Source organism: Homo sapiens, chromosome 1, assembly GCF_000001405.40.
Source record: "Homo sapiens chromosome 1, GRCh38.p14 Primary Assembly".
Taxonomy (NCBI): domain Eukaryota; kingdom Metazoa; phylum Chordata; class Mammalia; order Primates; family Hominidae; genus Homo; species Homo sapiens.
In genome coordinates this window covers 168,123,650-168,140,123 of record NC_000001.11, presented here as the reverse complement: position 1 = coordinate 168,140,123, position 16,474 = coordinate 168,123,650, and the positions used below count along the sequence as shown (strand labels likewise).

The 16,474-nt window shown below is 45.4% G+C and overlaps 1 protein-coding gene across 15 annotated transcripts in view, besides 2 other annotated features; it reads left to right on the top strand.

Annotated features, from left to right (window-relative positions):
• The window catches only part of GPR161 (G protein-coupled receptor 161), a 58,126-nt gene continuing 44,108 nt past the window's right edge, over positions 2,457-16,474 (top strand). For 2 of the 15 annotated variants that reach the window (NM_001267609.1, NM_001349632.1), the window contains exons 1-2: positions 2,457-2,959; positions 5,088-5,218. In NM_001267609.1, coding sequence (NP_001254538.1) covers positions 5,203-5,218 — 16 coding nt within the window. In that variant the 5' untranslated portion in view covers positions 2,457-2,959; positions 5,088-5,202. Of the gene's footprint in view, positions 2,960-3,193; positions 4,115-5,087; positions 5,219-6,202; positions 6,249-16,474 lie in introns of those variants that run through there. The other 13 variants (NM_001349635.1, NM_001349633.1, NM_001267614.1 and 10 more) reach the window with 10 other exon arrangements.
• Positions 2,499-2,793: a silencer, noted in NCBI's record as "tiled region #11959; HepG2 Repressive non-DNase unmatched - State 4:PromP, and K562 Repressive DNase matched - State 4:PromP". NCBI's record gives its function as "represses a minimal TATA promoter and a strong SV40 promoter by Sharpr-MPRA in HepG2 and K562 cells {active_cell/tissue: HepG2 | K562}" and the evidence as "EXISTENCE:reporter gene assay evidence [ECO:0000049][PMID:27701403]".
• Positions 3,322-3,551: a silencer, noted in NCBI's record as "silent region_1542". NCBI's record gives its function as "represses an Ori minimal core promoter by ATAC-STARR-seq in GM12878 lymphoblastoid cells {active_cell/tissue: GM12878}" and the evidence as "EXISTENCE:reporter gene assay evidence [ECO:0000049][PMID:35858748]".

Here is a 16,474-nt window from a genome sequence, read left to right as displayed (position 1 = left end):
CTTGAAGTTATAGACAGGATCACTGCAAGTATGACACAGATATATAAATGTAGACCAAGTCACCTAACTTGTACTAGTAAATCTGATACCATGAGTGGCATTGTTAATAGTGAGGTGATTTCCAAAATACTGAACAACTCTTGGTGAGGTTTGAGTAAATCAAGGTGCAATCTTCCTTCAATTCACATAGTACTTGCATTCCTAGACAAATTGCTGTACAACAAAACCATGCAAAAAAACCCCTCATGGATATATGTAAAATAGTTTGGTTTCAGACTTAGAAAAGTATAGACAGTTTTTACTGTCATGTGTGAAAGGAACTGTTCTTTTTGTGTAGGACTATTTCATGTACTGCAAGATGTCTGGTATCCTGGGCCGCACCCAATAAATGCCTGGGGTGTCCTCTAATCATTGTGACAAACCCAAAATGCCTTTCAAAATGTCGTATTAAGAATCACTGAGTGAGATGCTTTCTGTTCCAAGTAACAGAAATAAACCCATACTGATTCAATAAAAATATATGTATATTGATTGGCTCTTGTTTCTGATCAGTCCAGAGGCACATCAGTTTCAGGGAAGTTTCCATCTGAGGTCAAATGGTTTTACCATTCTATCAGTGGAGGCATACTGTAAACAAATAAATAGAAAAATTGATGCATATTTTATAAATTTGGACACATTTTATGTAGAAAAACAACAGAGCTGTGAAAGAGTACATAGATTAGAGAATTTCTTTTAGATTGGTCAGGGGCTGAGTGCAGTGGCTCACATCTGTAATTCCAGCACTTTGGGAGGCCAAGGTGAGAGGATAGCTTGAGCCCAGGAGTTAAAGACAAGCCTGGGCAACATAGCAAGATCCCATCAGGGAAGACTTCTCTAAGGAAGTGACATTTAAGGTGAGATGTGAAGGGCAGGAAGGGCTTGGCCTGTAAAGAGTGGAGGAAATAACATTCCATGTGGAACAAATAGCATATTTCACAGTTTTGCTTTCACCAGTTTTATGTGGACTGCTAGACTGAAATGATATTTTACATAAAATATGTTTTATATATAAATTATTCAACACACATGTGAGGTTCAGTTGGACAAGGCCTCTCATTATCTTACTTTATAAGTCTTTGTGGATGTCTCTAAAACAGAATGGTTTATTAAACTAATTTGGGAAAGGAGAATTAGTGTGTATCTTTCTCTTTTTCTAAAAAAATATAAATACATTCTTGCACAAAATCAGTCACGTTTTTCACAATTGTCACCTATACAATGATATACGGTGAAATAATTACTTTAATAATAATTTGTCTGTTTTCTCTGCATCTGATTGAATTCTGCTCATAGCTCAATATTAGCTCCAGAAGGGAAAAAAATCTTAAGAGAGCAATTGAAAATGCATTTGTTGGCAGCAATTTCCATCCCTGAATGCACAGTAAGTTCTGAGCTTATGAGCTCAGAAAAAAGAAAAATCTTTGTGATAAATAATGCATTTGATAATGAGCAGCAGGAGAAAAAAAGTGTTTTCTGTTGAAGAGTTCAAAATGAAATAGAGTAAGTATGGGAAAAGGTTGCTCAGTATGAAGGACATCTTTCGCATCATGGATGGGTATGGAGCCACAACAGCCGTAACTGTTTATTTTTTATTCTCATTCTCACCATGCCAGTCTGTGGCATATATTTTCAGACCTTTCGTGAATACCAATTTTCAAAAGGGTTTAGTTCTCAGATTCTATGTCACTGGATGATTTACTTACATGACCTCATTTAACCTTTTCAACTCTACAGATAGGAAAGTATGAGTATCCCCATTTTATATATGAATAAGCTGAGAGGAAGGTTAACTCACTCCCTCAGGCTCATAGAGCTTAGCCGACATCTGAGTCAGTGTAAATTAAATAAATATCAGGGATTTCAAAATAAGTGTCTAAAATACTATTAAGAACAGAAAGCTTTAAGCTCCTTCAAGTGTCTGGCTTGCCGCGTGACCTAGACTCTTAAGTGGAGCGTCAGCTTCCAGTTTTTGACCAAATAAAGCATTTATCCCATAGGAATATTAAGGCACCCATTTACTTTTTTCTCCCCATTATCCCATTTGTCCCCAGAGCAATGTGGGTGTTTGGCAGGTGCCAGACAGTAAATTACTGTTCTAAATTGTGCCTCAGTGGCCCAATAATATTAAGGAAGCATCTCCCACAGTGTCAATCTGTAGACAAGGGAATAATTAATGTATTTATCAAAGCAGATGGATTTCAGAGGAATGTGAATCCTGCTCTAAGCACAGCATCAGGGTTTGTTTTTTTTTTTCTGGAGTTTAGTGAACTGGGCTTTGTAACTTCTTACCTGATTATTTTGCTGCCCTGTTTGTCCTTCCTTCTTTCCCTTTTTAGCAGTTCTACTCTGTGCTTCAACTTTTCATCCCCTTATTAAGACTGCTGCATAGAAAACGTAGGAGTCTGGAGACAGGCAGGCAAAGTGGGGAGTGAGGAAGGGAAAACAAACATTCTGAGAAGGAACTGTTCCGTCCCCCGAGCTGACAGCGCCCGCTCTTTGTTTTGTGATGACTGCTCCCTGGCCTTTTGGTTCCGAGGGAGTGCAGGGCAGCAGTGTGAAGACCTGTTTACGTCCACTCCCCACTCCCCGGGGCTGGCTTCGGGACGAATTCACTGTGGTATTAACAGAGCCCGGGACAGAGCCTGGCAGAAGGCAGATGGATGCTCGTGCCCGTCGGCTGGATGAATGAAAGGTGAGCAGCAAAGGCGATACCAGGATCGTCCACGGCGGGACTGGAGGAGGAGAATGGGACTGTGCGGAGCCTGCGGGAAGAATCTGAAAGTGTCTGTGTGATGGAGAGAGACATGGAAAAGGCGACGTCCCAGCGGCTGGAACTGGGGCGGAGGAACGGGAACAGGGAAGGCCTGAGTTAGGCACCACAAAGGTTTTCAGGAGAAAAGTGGGGCGAGCCGAGAGGGTAAGGGCGAGACAAAGAGCAGCAGCCGAGGCTGTTCGTGGGAAGAAATGGGAAAGAAGCAGCCGGGAGGGCGGGCGGACGGACGCGAAGGAAGGGGCGCGGGTGGGGAGGGGCGCCGGGAGCTGGGCGGGGCGGGGCAGTGCGGGGCGCGGGGAGGCGGCTCGGGGCTCCGGGGGCCGGAGGGGCCCGGCCGGGCGTGGGGGGGGCGGGGCGGGGCGCGGGCGCCGCAAAGTTACTTGGCCTGCGCCCGCCCGGGTCCGCGTGCTGGTGGCTGGCCCGCGGGAGGAGCGAAGCGGGGCTCGGTGGGCTGAAACCCGAAACCTCCAGTCCCGGAGCGCGGCGGGGAGGAAGGAAGCGGCGGCGGCGGTGGCCGAGGCGGGGAGGCGGCTGGGCCGGGGCCTGAGCTGCCGCGGCGGCCGCTCCTCGGTGAGCACCCGGCGTGGGGCGCGGGCGCGGGCCCGGGCGGAGAGGGCGGTCCGGATGGAGCCAGGCTAAACTCATTGTGCGAGGCTGAGGGCTCAGGGCGCGGGCCGGGAAGGGTCCCCGCCCCCACGGCGCTCCCTTTCTCCCCGCGCCCCTCTCGGAGGTCAGGGCTGTCCTCCGCCCGCACTGCGCCTTGCTTTGGAGAGCTGGAGCTCTTTGTGGGAAGATGTTGGGGGCGCGCCCCTCCCCTGCGGCCTGGGGCTTCTGAGAGGCCCACCCCATTCTGCTGGGTGCAGCCCGCCCCGTTTCTCCGGCGCCGCCCGAAGCCCCTAAACAGTCCGCTGGATGGGAGGGCGTAGGTGCGTGCCCGGGACTCTGCCGATGCGGGCCGCGCCCCCTGGGGCCAAGAGACTCCACGTCCCGCTCAGGGCAAAGGGTGTGGGGAGAAGCGGTCACGCCCCTCGGCTGGAATCCGTGAGGACCAGGTGAGCAGCCTTCTCCCAGCCGGGACTCAGGGCGCTGTCTCCCCGAGCCTGGGCGGGCGGCGGGTGGCGCGCCCAGAAGTGGCCCGGCGCCGCCGGATGGGCGGCTCTGCCCCTCAGATCTGCGGGAGGGAGATTCGGCTGGTTCTTGGAAAGGGGAGAACTCGACCAGCCCTCGGCGCCTTCTGGGCCAAGCTTAACCCCCGTGCAACCTTTGGACAAAGGCATATGGGATGAGAACGTCTGTTGGGTAAGTGGGGTGTGTCCTGTGCTTCCCGGAGGTCTGCTCACCAGTAACCACATAGCTGCGCATTGGCATCGCTTTATATCACATCTTGGAGGCTATTTTTGCTTGTTATTGTACTTTCATCCCTTTTGCAAAGTGCTTTCATAGAGCAGGTCATTTGATCCACCTCCCGGTGAAGCCGTGAGGAGGTGTGTGGTTTTGGAGGGAAAGAACCTCAGTTCCTTGATTGTCCAATGGAGACACCGATAACCTCCGGTGAGCCTGTCTCAGCGTCCTAGGGGCTGGGGGAGGATGGCCATCCTTGTGGCTCCTCCGTGGAGCCAGGCGTGGATTCAGCCTGGCTTCTTCTCCCCTAGTGACCTGGACCTCCAGATGAGTTCTGGAGAGCTACTGCTTCGGGGAATAGGCGGTTTTCCCTTATAATCTATTTTACTGCAGCCACTGGGAGCAAGTGAAGAGAGGCATTTTTCAGGCCCTCAGGGCAGAAAGAGGAGGTGGGAGGGACCTCAGGTCATAGAGACAGAGGCTCTTCAACTGTAACTGGAATGCATGGCACCCATTTCTGTTACTTCTTTCAGAGCACCTCTCTTCCGGTCCTCCTCCACACCCGTCTTATTTTATACTTGTCAGGTGCTTACAAGCACTTTCATGTACACTTTTTCATTCACACAACAACCTTGTGAAGCTCTACTAGCCCATTTGATAGGTGAGGAAACTGAGGCTCAGGAGAGATGAAGCATTCTTGCCCAGCTAGGTAAGCAGCCCAGATTGAACTCAGATCTTTTGCCTTGGTAGTGCTTTTCACGTGGTTTCCTGATGGCACACAGGTGAGTTCTTTAACTCAGGGCTTCTCCCTGCCCTGTAGCTCCACTGCCATAACATCAAGAATAGAGACCCCTCATTAAGAGGCCCGCTTGACATTTTGGAACTAATCCAAGGCCGCAACGATATCCGAACCGTTCTCTTTGTGTTGCAGCCTGGTGCACTGTGCGTCCTCTGAGAGGTGAAGGAGCACTGTGTGGTCAGAGGGCTGCGAGCTCTCTGTTTGGGTTCCGAGGAAGACAGAATGGGCTGAACTGGAACTGACCTAAATGTCAGCAAGAGGAGGTACAGTTCTGTGGTGTAAACTCCACTGCCAGCAGGGACCAGTCAGGAAGCCTGAGTGCAGGAGGCGGGTGGACAGGAGGGCTGGGTGGGAGCTGTGTGCTGCTAAGCCTGTCTCCAGTAAGGGGGCAGCTGCAGGTGCGGTGGGGCTCCAGCACATGGTTGCCTGATCTTAGTTTTGGGGGAAACTGTAAATTTTTACGGAAAACAAGCTTCATATATTTTTAAAGATAGCAACTGATTCAAAACATTTTTTTTAATGTGCGTGCAGTTTAACCAAATTATGTGTGCAGGCTGCTTGCGTCTTCTGTGTGAGACCTTGGGAAGCACTGACTGTCATTCTGAGATGCAGTAAAGCATGACAGCAGGGGAGAAATGGTGTCTTCTTGCTGTTTTTCTATAAGAACAAAAAACATCAACAGAACTAGAGATAGCTATCAGTGCTACCTGGAGTTTGGAGGAGGGATTGACTTTATGACTCCATACTTCATTCATTCACCCAGTACTCGTCTATGACTCTGTTTCTACACCAAGAGAAAAGGCTTACAACTAGTTTTAATCTATTTCCTTGCACATTTTATGTGCTCAGCAGGGGAGAGGATAGCATTCATGGCAAATATGTTCAGGGAGTGCTGGAGCATAAAGGAAGGAATTTGCAGTTGGCCAGGGGTAAAGCATGAGGAGGTATATTTCAATTTTATTTTAGTTTGTGTTTGTTTTATACTCAAGCAATGGGTGAGAGAACACTGTGTTAAGAGCACTATCTGAAGTCAGACAGCCTACCTCCCAGCCCTGCCCCTTATAAACTTGTGACCTTAGGTAAATAATGTAAAGCATTCATGGAATATAGTAATTTTTCAAAACTAAGAGCTGTAAATATTTTAAAACACAGTAACATATAGGAAAATAAATTAAATTCCCCTCCACCTCTTCTCTACTCCTTCTCCCCACCTTTGAGATAACCACTGTAAATGTCTGTCTTTTTAGGTCTTTTTCAGTGTGCTCAATATGGTCACCAAGCCTGGAAACATAGGTGAATATATAGTTTATTGCTATTATATAAAACATGATAAAAAAGTATTACCTACATTTCTCACTTTAGGACCAACCTGAATATATTGAATATACTTGAAAAAATACATAAATGAAGCTGGGCATGGTGGCGCACACCTGTAGTCCCAGTTACTTGATAGGCTGAGGTGGGAGGATCGCTTGAGCCTAAGAGTTCAAGTCCAGCATGGACAACATAGTAAGATCCTGTCTGTTAAAAAAAGAAAAACATAAATCGGGTCATATAATAATGCTCTGTGGTTTACTTTTCTGATTTAACAATATGACTTAGAAGTCATTCAATAACAATAACAGATACATTGTACTTCATTCTTTTTAATAATAACATAGTATTTCATAGTATCGGTTCCCTATAAATTATTTAAACATTCCCCTCTTGATGGACTCATAGATTGGCTTCCAATTTAATTTAGATTTTCTGTGTATCTTTATCTGTGTACATGTACAATATTTCTGGGTAAAAATTGTTCCTGGACGTGGGATCTGTGGGTCAAAGGAAATGTACATTTTAAGTGGTTATTTAAGCAGAATTATCTTTGTTTATTGAGGTCTGGAAGATTGTGTAGAAAAAGAGACTGAATTATTTACTGTATTTATTTAAGGTTATTTGTTTGAGAATAAGTAGTGAATTGGAAAGGTATAGCATTCAAAAGTTATAAAAGGCAACATCTCCCTCCCACTCCTCTTTCCTAGCCCTCTTTTTCCTTTTTTGGGTATAACTAATTTTACCAGTTTTTGTGCATTCTTTCAGAAATAGTCCATGCCCCTACAAGCAAATAAAATGTACCTTCTGGGCTGGGCGCAGTGGCTCACGCCTGTAATCCCAGTATTTTGGGAGGCCGAGGCAGGCAGATCATCTGAGGTCAGGAGTTCGAGACCAGCCTGACCAACATGGTGAAACCCCATCTCTACTAAAAATACAAAAATTAGCCGGGCATGGTGGTGGGCACCTGTAATCCCAGCTACTTGGAAGGCTGAGGCAGGAGAATCGCTTGAACCCAGGAGGCGGAGGTTGCAGTGAGCCGAGACTGTGCCATTGCACTCCATCCTGGGCAACAAGAGCGAAACTCCATCTTAAAAAACCAACCAACAAACAACAACAACAAAAACAAACCTAAAAATGTGCCTTCTGTTTTCTCTCTTTCAGAAATAAATATGATAGCATATTATATGCTCTGTTCTACATAGGGCATTAAAAAAGTTCAATCTAGATCTTGGAGACCATTTCTTTTTTTCTTTTTTTTTTTTTTGAGACGGAGTCTTGCTCAGTCACCCAGGCTGGAGTTCAGTGGCGCGATCTCGGCTCACTGCAAGCTCCATCTTCCGGGTTCACGCCATTCTCCTGCCTCAGCCTCCCGAGTAGCTGGGACTACAGGCACCTGCCACCACGCCCGGCTAATTTTTTTGTATTTTTAGTAGAGACGGGGTTTCACCGTGTTAGCCAGGATGGTCTCAATCTCCTGACCTCGTGATCCGCCCGCCTCGACCTCCCAAAGTGCTGGGATTACAGGCGAGAGCCACAGCGCCCGGCTTGGAGACCATTTCATATCAGTTATGGGCATTTTATTTTTATGAGACAGAGTCTTGCTCTGTCGCCCAGGCTGGAGTGCAGTGGCATGATCTCGGCTCACTGCAACATCCACCTCCTGGGTTCAAGTGATTCTCCTGCCTCAGCCTCCCACGTAGCTGGGGTTACAGGCGTGCGCCACCACACCTGGCTAATTTTTGTATTTTTAGTAGAGAAGGGGTTTCACCATATTGGCGAGGCTGGTCTCAAACTCCTGACCTCCGGGGATTTGCCCACCTCGGCCTCCCAAAATGCTGGAATTACAGGCTTGAGTCACCGCGCCTGGCCAGTTATGTGCATTTTAAATGCTGATGTATTCTTCCAAGTTTACTCTAAATTGATTGCTTACACTTCCTCTAATTCCTCCATCAAATTCTTTGCCAATTTTTTTAACTGAGTTGTTTGTAATTTCATCAATTTGTGAGGCTCTTTTTAAATTCTGGTCTTTAATCCTTTTCTTGTTAATAAATCAAACATCTTTATGTCTTCTTCCCCAACTTTGCTTATTGTACCTTTGATTGTCCAGAAGTATTTAATTTTTATGAAGTGAAAACTCTATCACTTTTCTTTGTTTTCAAGTTTTCTGTCTTGCTTAGGAAGTCCCCTCCTACTTCAAGAGTAAATTTTCCTAAATTTTCTCTTTTCTCTCCATTCTTTCTTTGCTTTTCTCCATTTAAAAATATTTTAAATTTCTGCTTTTCCTTTATTTATTTTCCCTCCTTGTCACTTTAACCAATCTATATTTTCTTTGACTTTTATAGTAACTTTTTTTTTTCTTTTTTTAACCAAGTCTTAAGGATGAGCTCTTCTCCAGGTGGGTGAGGAGGAAGAGACAGCATTATGGGCAGTGATAACAGTGTACAGAGCCACAGAGTTGAGAACAACAGTGAGTGTTTGGAGAACTGTGAGCAATTTGGGATGGTCGAGGTAGAGGGTATTTGCAAATGAATAAATTCTGCAGGTGGCAGGGAATAGCATGAAATGGTCTGGCTGTGTAGGGGACAATCAGTCTGGCAATAGTTGGGAGGAGAGATTGGTGTGGGGGGTAAGGGTGGGGGTGAGATCGAAAATAAGAAGAAGAGAGAAATGCCTGTTAGTAGTCCAGGGAAAAGATGGTGAGGCTCTGAGCTGGGGTAGTGGCAGTGAGGATGAAGTTTTGACTGAGAACTAGTGATGCATTGGATGTCTGTGATAGGAAATGGAACCAACTGCTTTACACACACTATCTCATTCAATCCTAGAGAGTCAGTATGGAAATCCACAGCTCAGACATGTTCATTAATACACCCATGGTGACACAGTCAGAAAGTGTAGTCAGGGCCTAAACCCCATTAGGATTCCCTTAAGGAGTGGCCTAGGATGTCCTAGGCTTCTTTCCTGAGAGATTGGGTGGGTGGTGATGTTTTATCTAGGGTAGAGAAAAACATGAGGAATAGCATAGTGGGATGGTAGCAGCAGAGATGTGAATTCCATTTTGTACATGTTCTATCTGAGGTGCCTGAATGTGACATATGGGAGACAACATCTACAAGGTGGGTGGATATGAATCTGGAGCACCAAAGAGTTTCTAGGCTATACATGGAGATTTTGGAGTCATCAGTGTTTAAGTGGGCATAGAGAGGGAACATATAGAGAGAAGAGGTATCAGATAGGAGTCTTTCTTTTGCAAGTGGTAGAATATCCATTCAAATCCACTTAAGCAAAAAGGAAAGCTATTGGCTCATGTCATTAAAATGCTCGAGTGTATTTGGCTTCTGGTGTGGGTTCAGGGTTCAAGTGGTTTTTATCAGGACCCATTTTCTCACTGGTTTTGACCTTTCTTCATGCTAAGGTTCTGTGTGGTGATCCCCAGCAGCTCTGGCAAGGGGGAAAGCTGCAGGTTCAAATCCAATGTGAAAGGGGAACTGTCCTTCTCCCAGCTGTTTCAGCAACACTGTTGTTACATCAAAGGAAGTTCGAAGATGCTGATTGGCGAGGCATAGGTCATGTGTCCACATCCATGAAGCCACATGGATGTGGTGTGTGAAAAGGGTGGGTCTCCAGAGGAGCAACTGCTGGACAAGGGTAAGAGATATCGAGGAGGCCGACAGTTAATTTCCTCTGTAGATGAGAAAGGAAGAAATAGTGCCCCAGAGGGCATCTTGGAAAACTGCAGCGCTTACAGGGTAGGATGATTAGCAGGTAAGCAAGACTGGTAAGGAACTAAAGGACGGAGAGACAGGAGAGAGGAGCTCAGGGAAGACAAGGGAAGAGGGAGTCTCAAAAAAATGAAAGGAGTCAGAAGTGTCAGATGCTGCAGAGAGCTCAATAAGGGCCCATTGGGTTTGGCTAGGATGTTAGGGTGACCTTGCCCAAAGCAAAGAGAGTCATTTATTTTGACTTTGGCTAGGACTACCCTCTAGAGGGTTCCTGTGCCTACCTGTCTTCTGCATTGCCCACCCCAGCCCTGGGTTGGCCAGGTAAGGGCAGAGGTATAGTGATGGCAGTCAGGAAATTTGTGCTTTGTCAGTAATTAGGTCTATGACTATGGGTAACTCATTTCAGCCCCTTGGGCTTTCATTTTGTCATCTGTAAAATGATAGACTAGAATGAATTACTCTGAAGGCCTCTTTTAGCTCCAAAATGTTGGCGTCTTTAAGGAGATTAGTGAATCTAAACATTTCTTAACACTTCTGTTACCATGACCCTGGTCCAAGCCTTTGTCTCTACTTGGGCCATAGCCGTGGCCTCCTAACTGGGGTCCCTGCCTCCACACTTGCCCCTTGCAGTCCCCCCTTCACCCAGCAGCAGGCACAGTGACCTCTTGAAAGTGTAAGTCAGTCATGTCTCTCCAGTGGCTTCCTCTCACATGTAGAATCCAGTCCACACTCTTTCTCCAGGCCTGCAATGCTTTTTGTAATCTGGCCCCCGACTGTCTCCAAAGTCTGCTGTTCTCTTCTTCACTCCTCTCCAGCTTTCTTGCTAATCCTTAAACACGCCGAGCTCATTTCAGCCTCAGGGCTTTGCAAGGGCTCTTCTCTGGCCTGCCTGAGGTTCCCTCGCATCATTTTCTGGTCTCTGCTCAAATGTCATGTCCTTGGAGAGCCTTCCCTGATGACCCACCCCTGACCCAGACACCCATTCCCTCTCTGCTTACCCTGTTTGATCTTTCTTTACAGTACCTACTACCCAGAATTGTTTCCTATTTTTTAAATTTATTTGTTTACTGTCTGTATCCCCACCTCCAAAATGTAAGCTTCAGGATAGGAGAGATTTGAACATGTCTTGTTCAGGGCTATGCCCCAGCTGTAGAGTTGAGCTGGGCACAGAGCAGCTCTTCAATAAATGTATTTTGTGTAGCTCAGTGAGGAATGGGAAAACAAGAATATAGGAGTGTCCAGAAACCAGTGGCAGTATGGCTATCATGGTGAGGGAGGGAGGGGACAGCCCTGTGCCTGAGGCATCCATCTCACATATGGCCATCAGAAAAAAATGTACTCCTTTCAGCTATTTAAAAATAATATAGTTTTAGGAATATGGGCTTAGTTTGCCTGGCTTGATGAGGATAATAAATAAAAAATAATTAAGGGTAAAAACTAATTCACGTAGTCATTATTTTTTATCTTGTGATAGAAGTAATCATCTCAGTCTTGTTCTCAGCACAGCTTCCATCTCTTGTCTTCTCAGAGCATGTGTATGTTATGGAAGGGCTTGTTTTATTTTTCTTGATCTGTTTATTAAGTACATACAGTAAAAAACAGAATGAGAAGAATGAACCCAAATTGTTTGTGTAGAGCAGGTTTTCTCAACCTCGGCACTACTGACGTTTTTGACCGGATAATTCTCTGTTGTTGGGGGCTATCTTGTGTATTGTAAAATGTTTAGCAACATCCCCAGCCTTAGGTGCCAATAGCATCCCCCAGGTGTGACAACCAAAAATGTCTCCAGGCATTTCCAGAGGTGCGGGATCTGGAGAATGGGGATTGAGAATCAGTGATGTAGGATAGTGAGGTAGGGAGTGGGTTTGATTATTATCCAGTGTCTACTGCTTGGATATTTTCAGACCCTCCCCAGCTAACCTCATTCTTTTCACTGATATCATTTCAGCTCTTCTGCTTAAAAAGAAAATATATGCAATTTCAGGGAAGGGGTTTTGAGCCAAAGGAAGCATGGAATATCAGCCCCACAGTTACAGGTGGAGGTAAATTAAAATTTCATATTTCTCAGTCAGCTGCTTACCTGGGTGCCCACAACCCTCAGCCTGAGCATCTGTGTGGTAGCTGCAGCAGCTCAGTTCTGGGAGGGGGCATCTTCCTATAGTGGGGCTTTAAATCTTCAGGCCCTGAGCCCCTTATGGAGTCAAAGACACTTCCACTTTGCATTCTCTTGCAATGCATCTTTTCTGTCTTCCATTTCATCTCTTCCGCATCAACAAGTAGTTGATATGCTCTGGCTGTGTTCCCAGCCAAATCTCATCTTGAATTGTAACTCCCACAATTCCCATGTGTCATGGGAGGAACCCAGTGGGAGGTGATTGAATTATGGGAGCGGGTGGGTCTTTCTTGTGCTGTTCTCATAGTGCATGAGTCTCATGAGATCTGATGGTTTTAAAAATGGGAATTTTTGCCTGCTGCCATCCATGTAAGATGTGACTTGCTCCTCCTTGCCTCCCAGCCATGTGGAACTGTAAGTCCATAAACCTTTTTCTTCCCAATCTTGGGTATGTTTTTATCAGCAGCATAAAAACAGACTAATACAGTAGTTGAATGAAACCTCTCTGTCTTTAACTAAATTTTTTTTTTTTTAATGAGATGGAGTCTCACTGCATCACCGAATCTGGAGTGCAGTGGCGCCATCTTGGCTCACTGCAATGCCCACCTCCTGGGTTCAAGTATTCTCCTGCCTCAGCCTCCAGAGTAGCTGGGATTACAGGTGCCCACCATCATGCCTGGCTAATTTTTGTATTTTTAATAGAGACAGGGTTTCACCATGTTGGTCAGGCTAGTCTTGATCTCCTGACCTTAGGCAATCCACCTGCCTCAGCCTCCCAAAGTGCTGGGATTACAGGTGTGAGCCACTGTGCCCGGCCAGCTTGAATTAAAATTTGAAAGGGAAAAAAAGAATTGAGTTTTCTTTTCATGTCTTAAGTAATTTTTGTAAACATTCCTTGAGTTTATCTTCTGACAACCTTTTTGCTCGTACTTTTACCCTCATTACCTCGTAGATTCCTCTTGGCAGTTGTATAAAGTAGAGTATATCTACTCTCTTTTTTGTCTTAGGAGAAATTGAGTCTCAGAGAGATTAAGAGACACACACACAGTCACAGGGAATTCAGACCTGGGTTTGGTAAAGATTCCAAGGCCCATGTTCTTTCTATTCGATATCAGGTTTAAGTGGATATTAGTGTAGGGGAAATATAAAATATTTGTTTTCTCCACATGCAGAGTGCTGTTGGGAATTCAAAGGGGAAACTGAGGAAGCATTCATAAGCTTTCTGGAAGGGAAAACATCCTCACCTAAAATAAAAACTTGTATTATGGCCGGGTGTGGTGACTCATATCTGTAATCCCATCAGTTTGAGCAGCCATGGTGGGCGGATTGCTTGAGCCCAGGAGTTTGAGACCAGCCTGGGTAACATAGCAAAACCCCCTCTTTACAAAAACAGTACAAAAATTAGCTAGGTGTGGTGGCACACACCTGTAGTTTCACCTACTTGGGAGGCTGAGGTGGGAAGGTCACCTGAGTCCAAGAGTTCGAGGCTACAGTGGGCTGTGATCACGCCACTGCACTCCAGGCTGTGACAGAGTGAGACGCTGTCTCAAAAAAAACAAAACAAAACAATACTTGTATTATGAGAAGACATGAATGTCTGAAAGGACAACTAAAATATAAAAGGCAAACCCTAGACCGGAGGAGATGGTAAGGGTCATTGTAAAGGTAGCATTTTCTGGAAAGGCCTCTTCAGAGTTCTTAAGGTGGTCTAGAGATAGACGGTGTTCAAATAAGTGGCAACAAGGAGGTGAGTGGCCAGCGTAGGGAATGGCTTATGGTGGTAACCTCTGAGCTCTCCCAGGCTGCATGCATCCTCTCCTGCCCTATAGTGTCACTTCAGCTGGAGAAAATGCTCAGTTACAGAAAGCTGCTGTGAGTGAATGACAACATAAACAAGGAATTTGAATTCTATTGACCGCAATAGCATCTATAGACGTTTTCAGAATAATAGTTTACATATGTGTGTAACCTCATTTATTTGGTCTTCAGACAGCTGGGGGTATATTTGGTTGGGAGACCCTTCACAGTAGCTGCCACCCACGGTTTGGGAATGCCTGACTTAGAGGATGTGTCATAGTAGAGTTTATAGGGGAAATAAAAATAGGGCCGGGTGCGGTGGCTCACGCCTGTAATCCCAGCACTTTGGGAGGCCGAGGCGGGCAGATCATGAGGTCAGGAGTTTGAGACCAGCCTGGCTAACACGGTGAAACCCCATCTCTACTAAAAATACAAAAATTAGCTGGGCCTGGTGGCGGGTGCCTGTAGTCCTGGCTACTCAGGAGGCTGAGGCAGGAGAATCATTTGAACCCGGGAGGTGGAGATTGCAGTGAGCTGAGATCACACCATTGTACTCCAGCCTGGACGACAGGGTGAGACTGTCTCAAAAAAAAAAAAAGGGGGGGGAAGCAAGATAGTCAAGATACTGTACATGTTATGCAGGCCTGTGCAAATATCTTCTGCACTGACACCTACGGTCTCTTCAAAAAAATTCATATTTTCTGGAGTTGGCCTTTTGAAAGATTCTAATGAAAGTCTTTCAGTATAAAACGTATTTGTCTGCACTTATATATTGGCCTTTCTGATGGTATAAAATCCAACAGGACTCAACATTCTTGTTTAAATTTTTGTTTAAATTCAGCAGTTTCCCTCCTACAGCTTAAAACATATTAAATCCTATTCTGGGACCTAGACTATTTCAAGGGTCTTTGTTTCCTGGAACAAATCAGCACTCCCCAAAGGCACAGGAGGAAATGACTTGTATCTGACAGAGTCTGTACTCAGAGAACTTTGCACTGAAGCCCTCCCTCAGGATAGTATTAGCTTTTACTTTATGCAGACCTTTAATACTCTTGACAAGGGAAACTGCAGATAAGTATACTTTTATAGGGAAAAGGGGGCAGCTGAAAGTTGAAAGAAATTACGGAGAAAGTATAAAAAGGAGACAGAGAATATGCAATACACATTTGATGTAAGAGGAGAACATTCTGGTTATTAGTCCATTTTGTGTTGCTATACAGGAATACATGAGGCTGGGTAATTTATAAGGAAAAGAAGTTTATTTGGCTAATGGTTCTGCAGACTGGACAAGAGTCATGGCGCCAGCATCTGCTTCTGGTGAGGGCTCCCATGGCAAAAGGAGGATCAGGCATGCCACACAGCATGAGAGGGAGAGGGAGAGCAATGGGAGGAGTACCACACTTTGCATGAGCTCATAGAGCAAGAACTTATTACTATGGGGATGGCACCAAGCCTGCCCCCATGACCCAGACACCTCTAGGCCACACCTTTGACACTGGAGATCACATTTCAACATGGGATTTAGAGGGAACAAATATCCAAACCATATAAATGACCTTTACCAGTCTTAAGGGAATCACTGTGTTTTGGATCATATAATAATGGCTCACTGTGATAACCCACTAGCTGAGTGACTGTGGGCAAGCTAACAACCTTCTCTGAGGTTCCAAAAGAAAATGCTTCCATTAGAATTGCTCTCTAAGGTTTTTCCCAAGTCAAAATTCCACGTATCTTGGCATTTAATGACCTCAAATTATTATGAAAATTATGTTTTGTATACCTTATTTTAAAATACAGAAAAATGTGTGATAGATTTTCATGAATTTTGCTTAAAGGCTTAAAGAGTTTGGGTAGTTTAAGGTGGAATTAATAAAACTCGACCAATTCAGAAAACTCAGCTATCTAGAATGGAGCATTTCCTGAGGATTAGCTTGAGTGTTAGTGCATTTTTGAAAGGGAAATTGTAACTGGACACCCTCTCCTTCCAATGATGAGAACGTTTGATTTTATTTGGAGTTATCATGGGAAAAGGGATACAAGTTAGGGTTGCAGCAGTGTTTGCCCTGGGGGTTGAGGAGAATGGGACAGGGTGGATGGGAGAAGGAGATAGATGGGCAGATGAAGACGTGGTGGCACCAATCCTTACCAGCAGCTGAGCTGACTGCATCATCATATTCATCACAGCACAGTTTGCCTTCCTCAGCTCCTCTCTTCTCACTTTCAACCTGTGTGTCAAGTTAGGATTGCTTTTTACAACATGCGAAGGCAACTCTGCTACAGGACTTAACCAAAAAGGGGTTGACTAGCTGGGGCTGGGTGTAGTGGCTTCACAGTTCATTAGGTAGCTTGGGCTGCTTCAGCGTCAAACAGACTTGGAACAGCCTTGGGCAGTTCTGATCTTTTGTGACCCAGCTTCACCTTAGGGATTTTCTGCTTTCTATTGCATGGGACTTCCAACTACATGGTCAAAAAATGGCTCTTCACGTTCACCTTCAAGCATTGACTTTGAGTTCCAGTCAGGAGAAAGGGAAAGGAGAAGGGTAAAAGCCACAGCTGAGTCTGTCCCTTTGTAT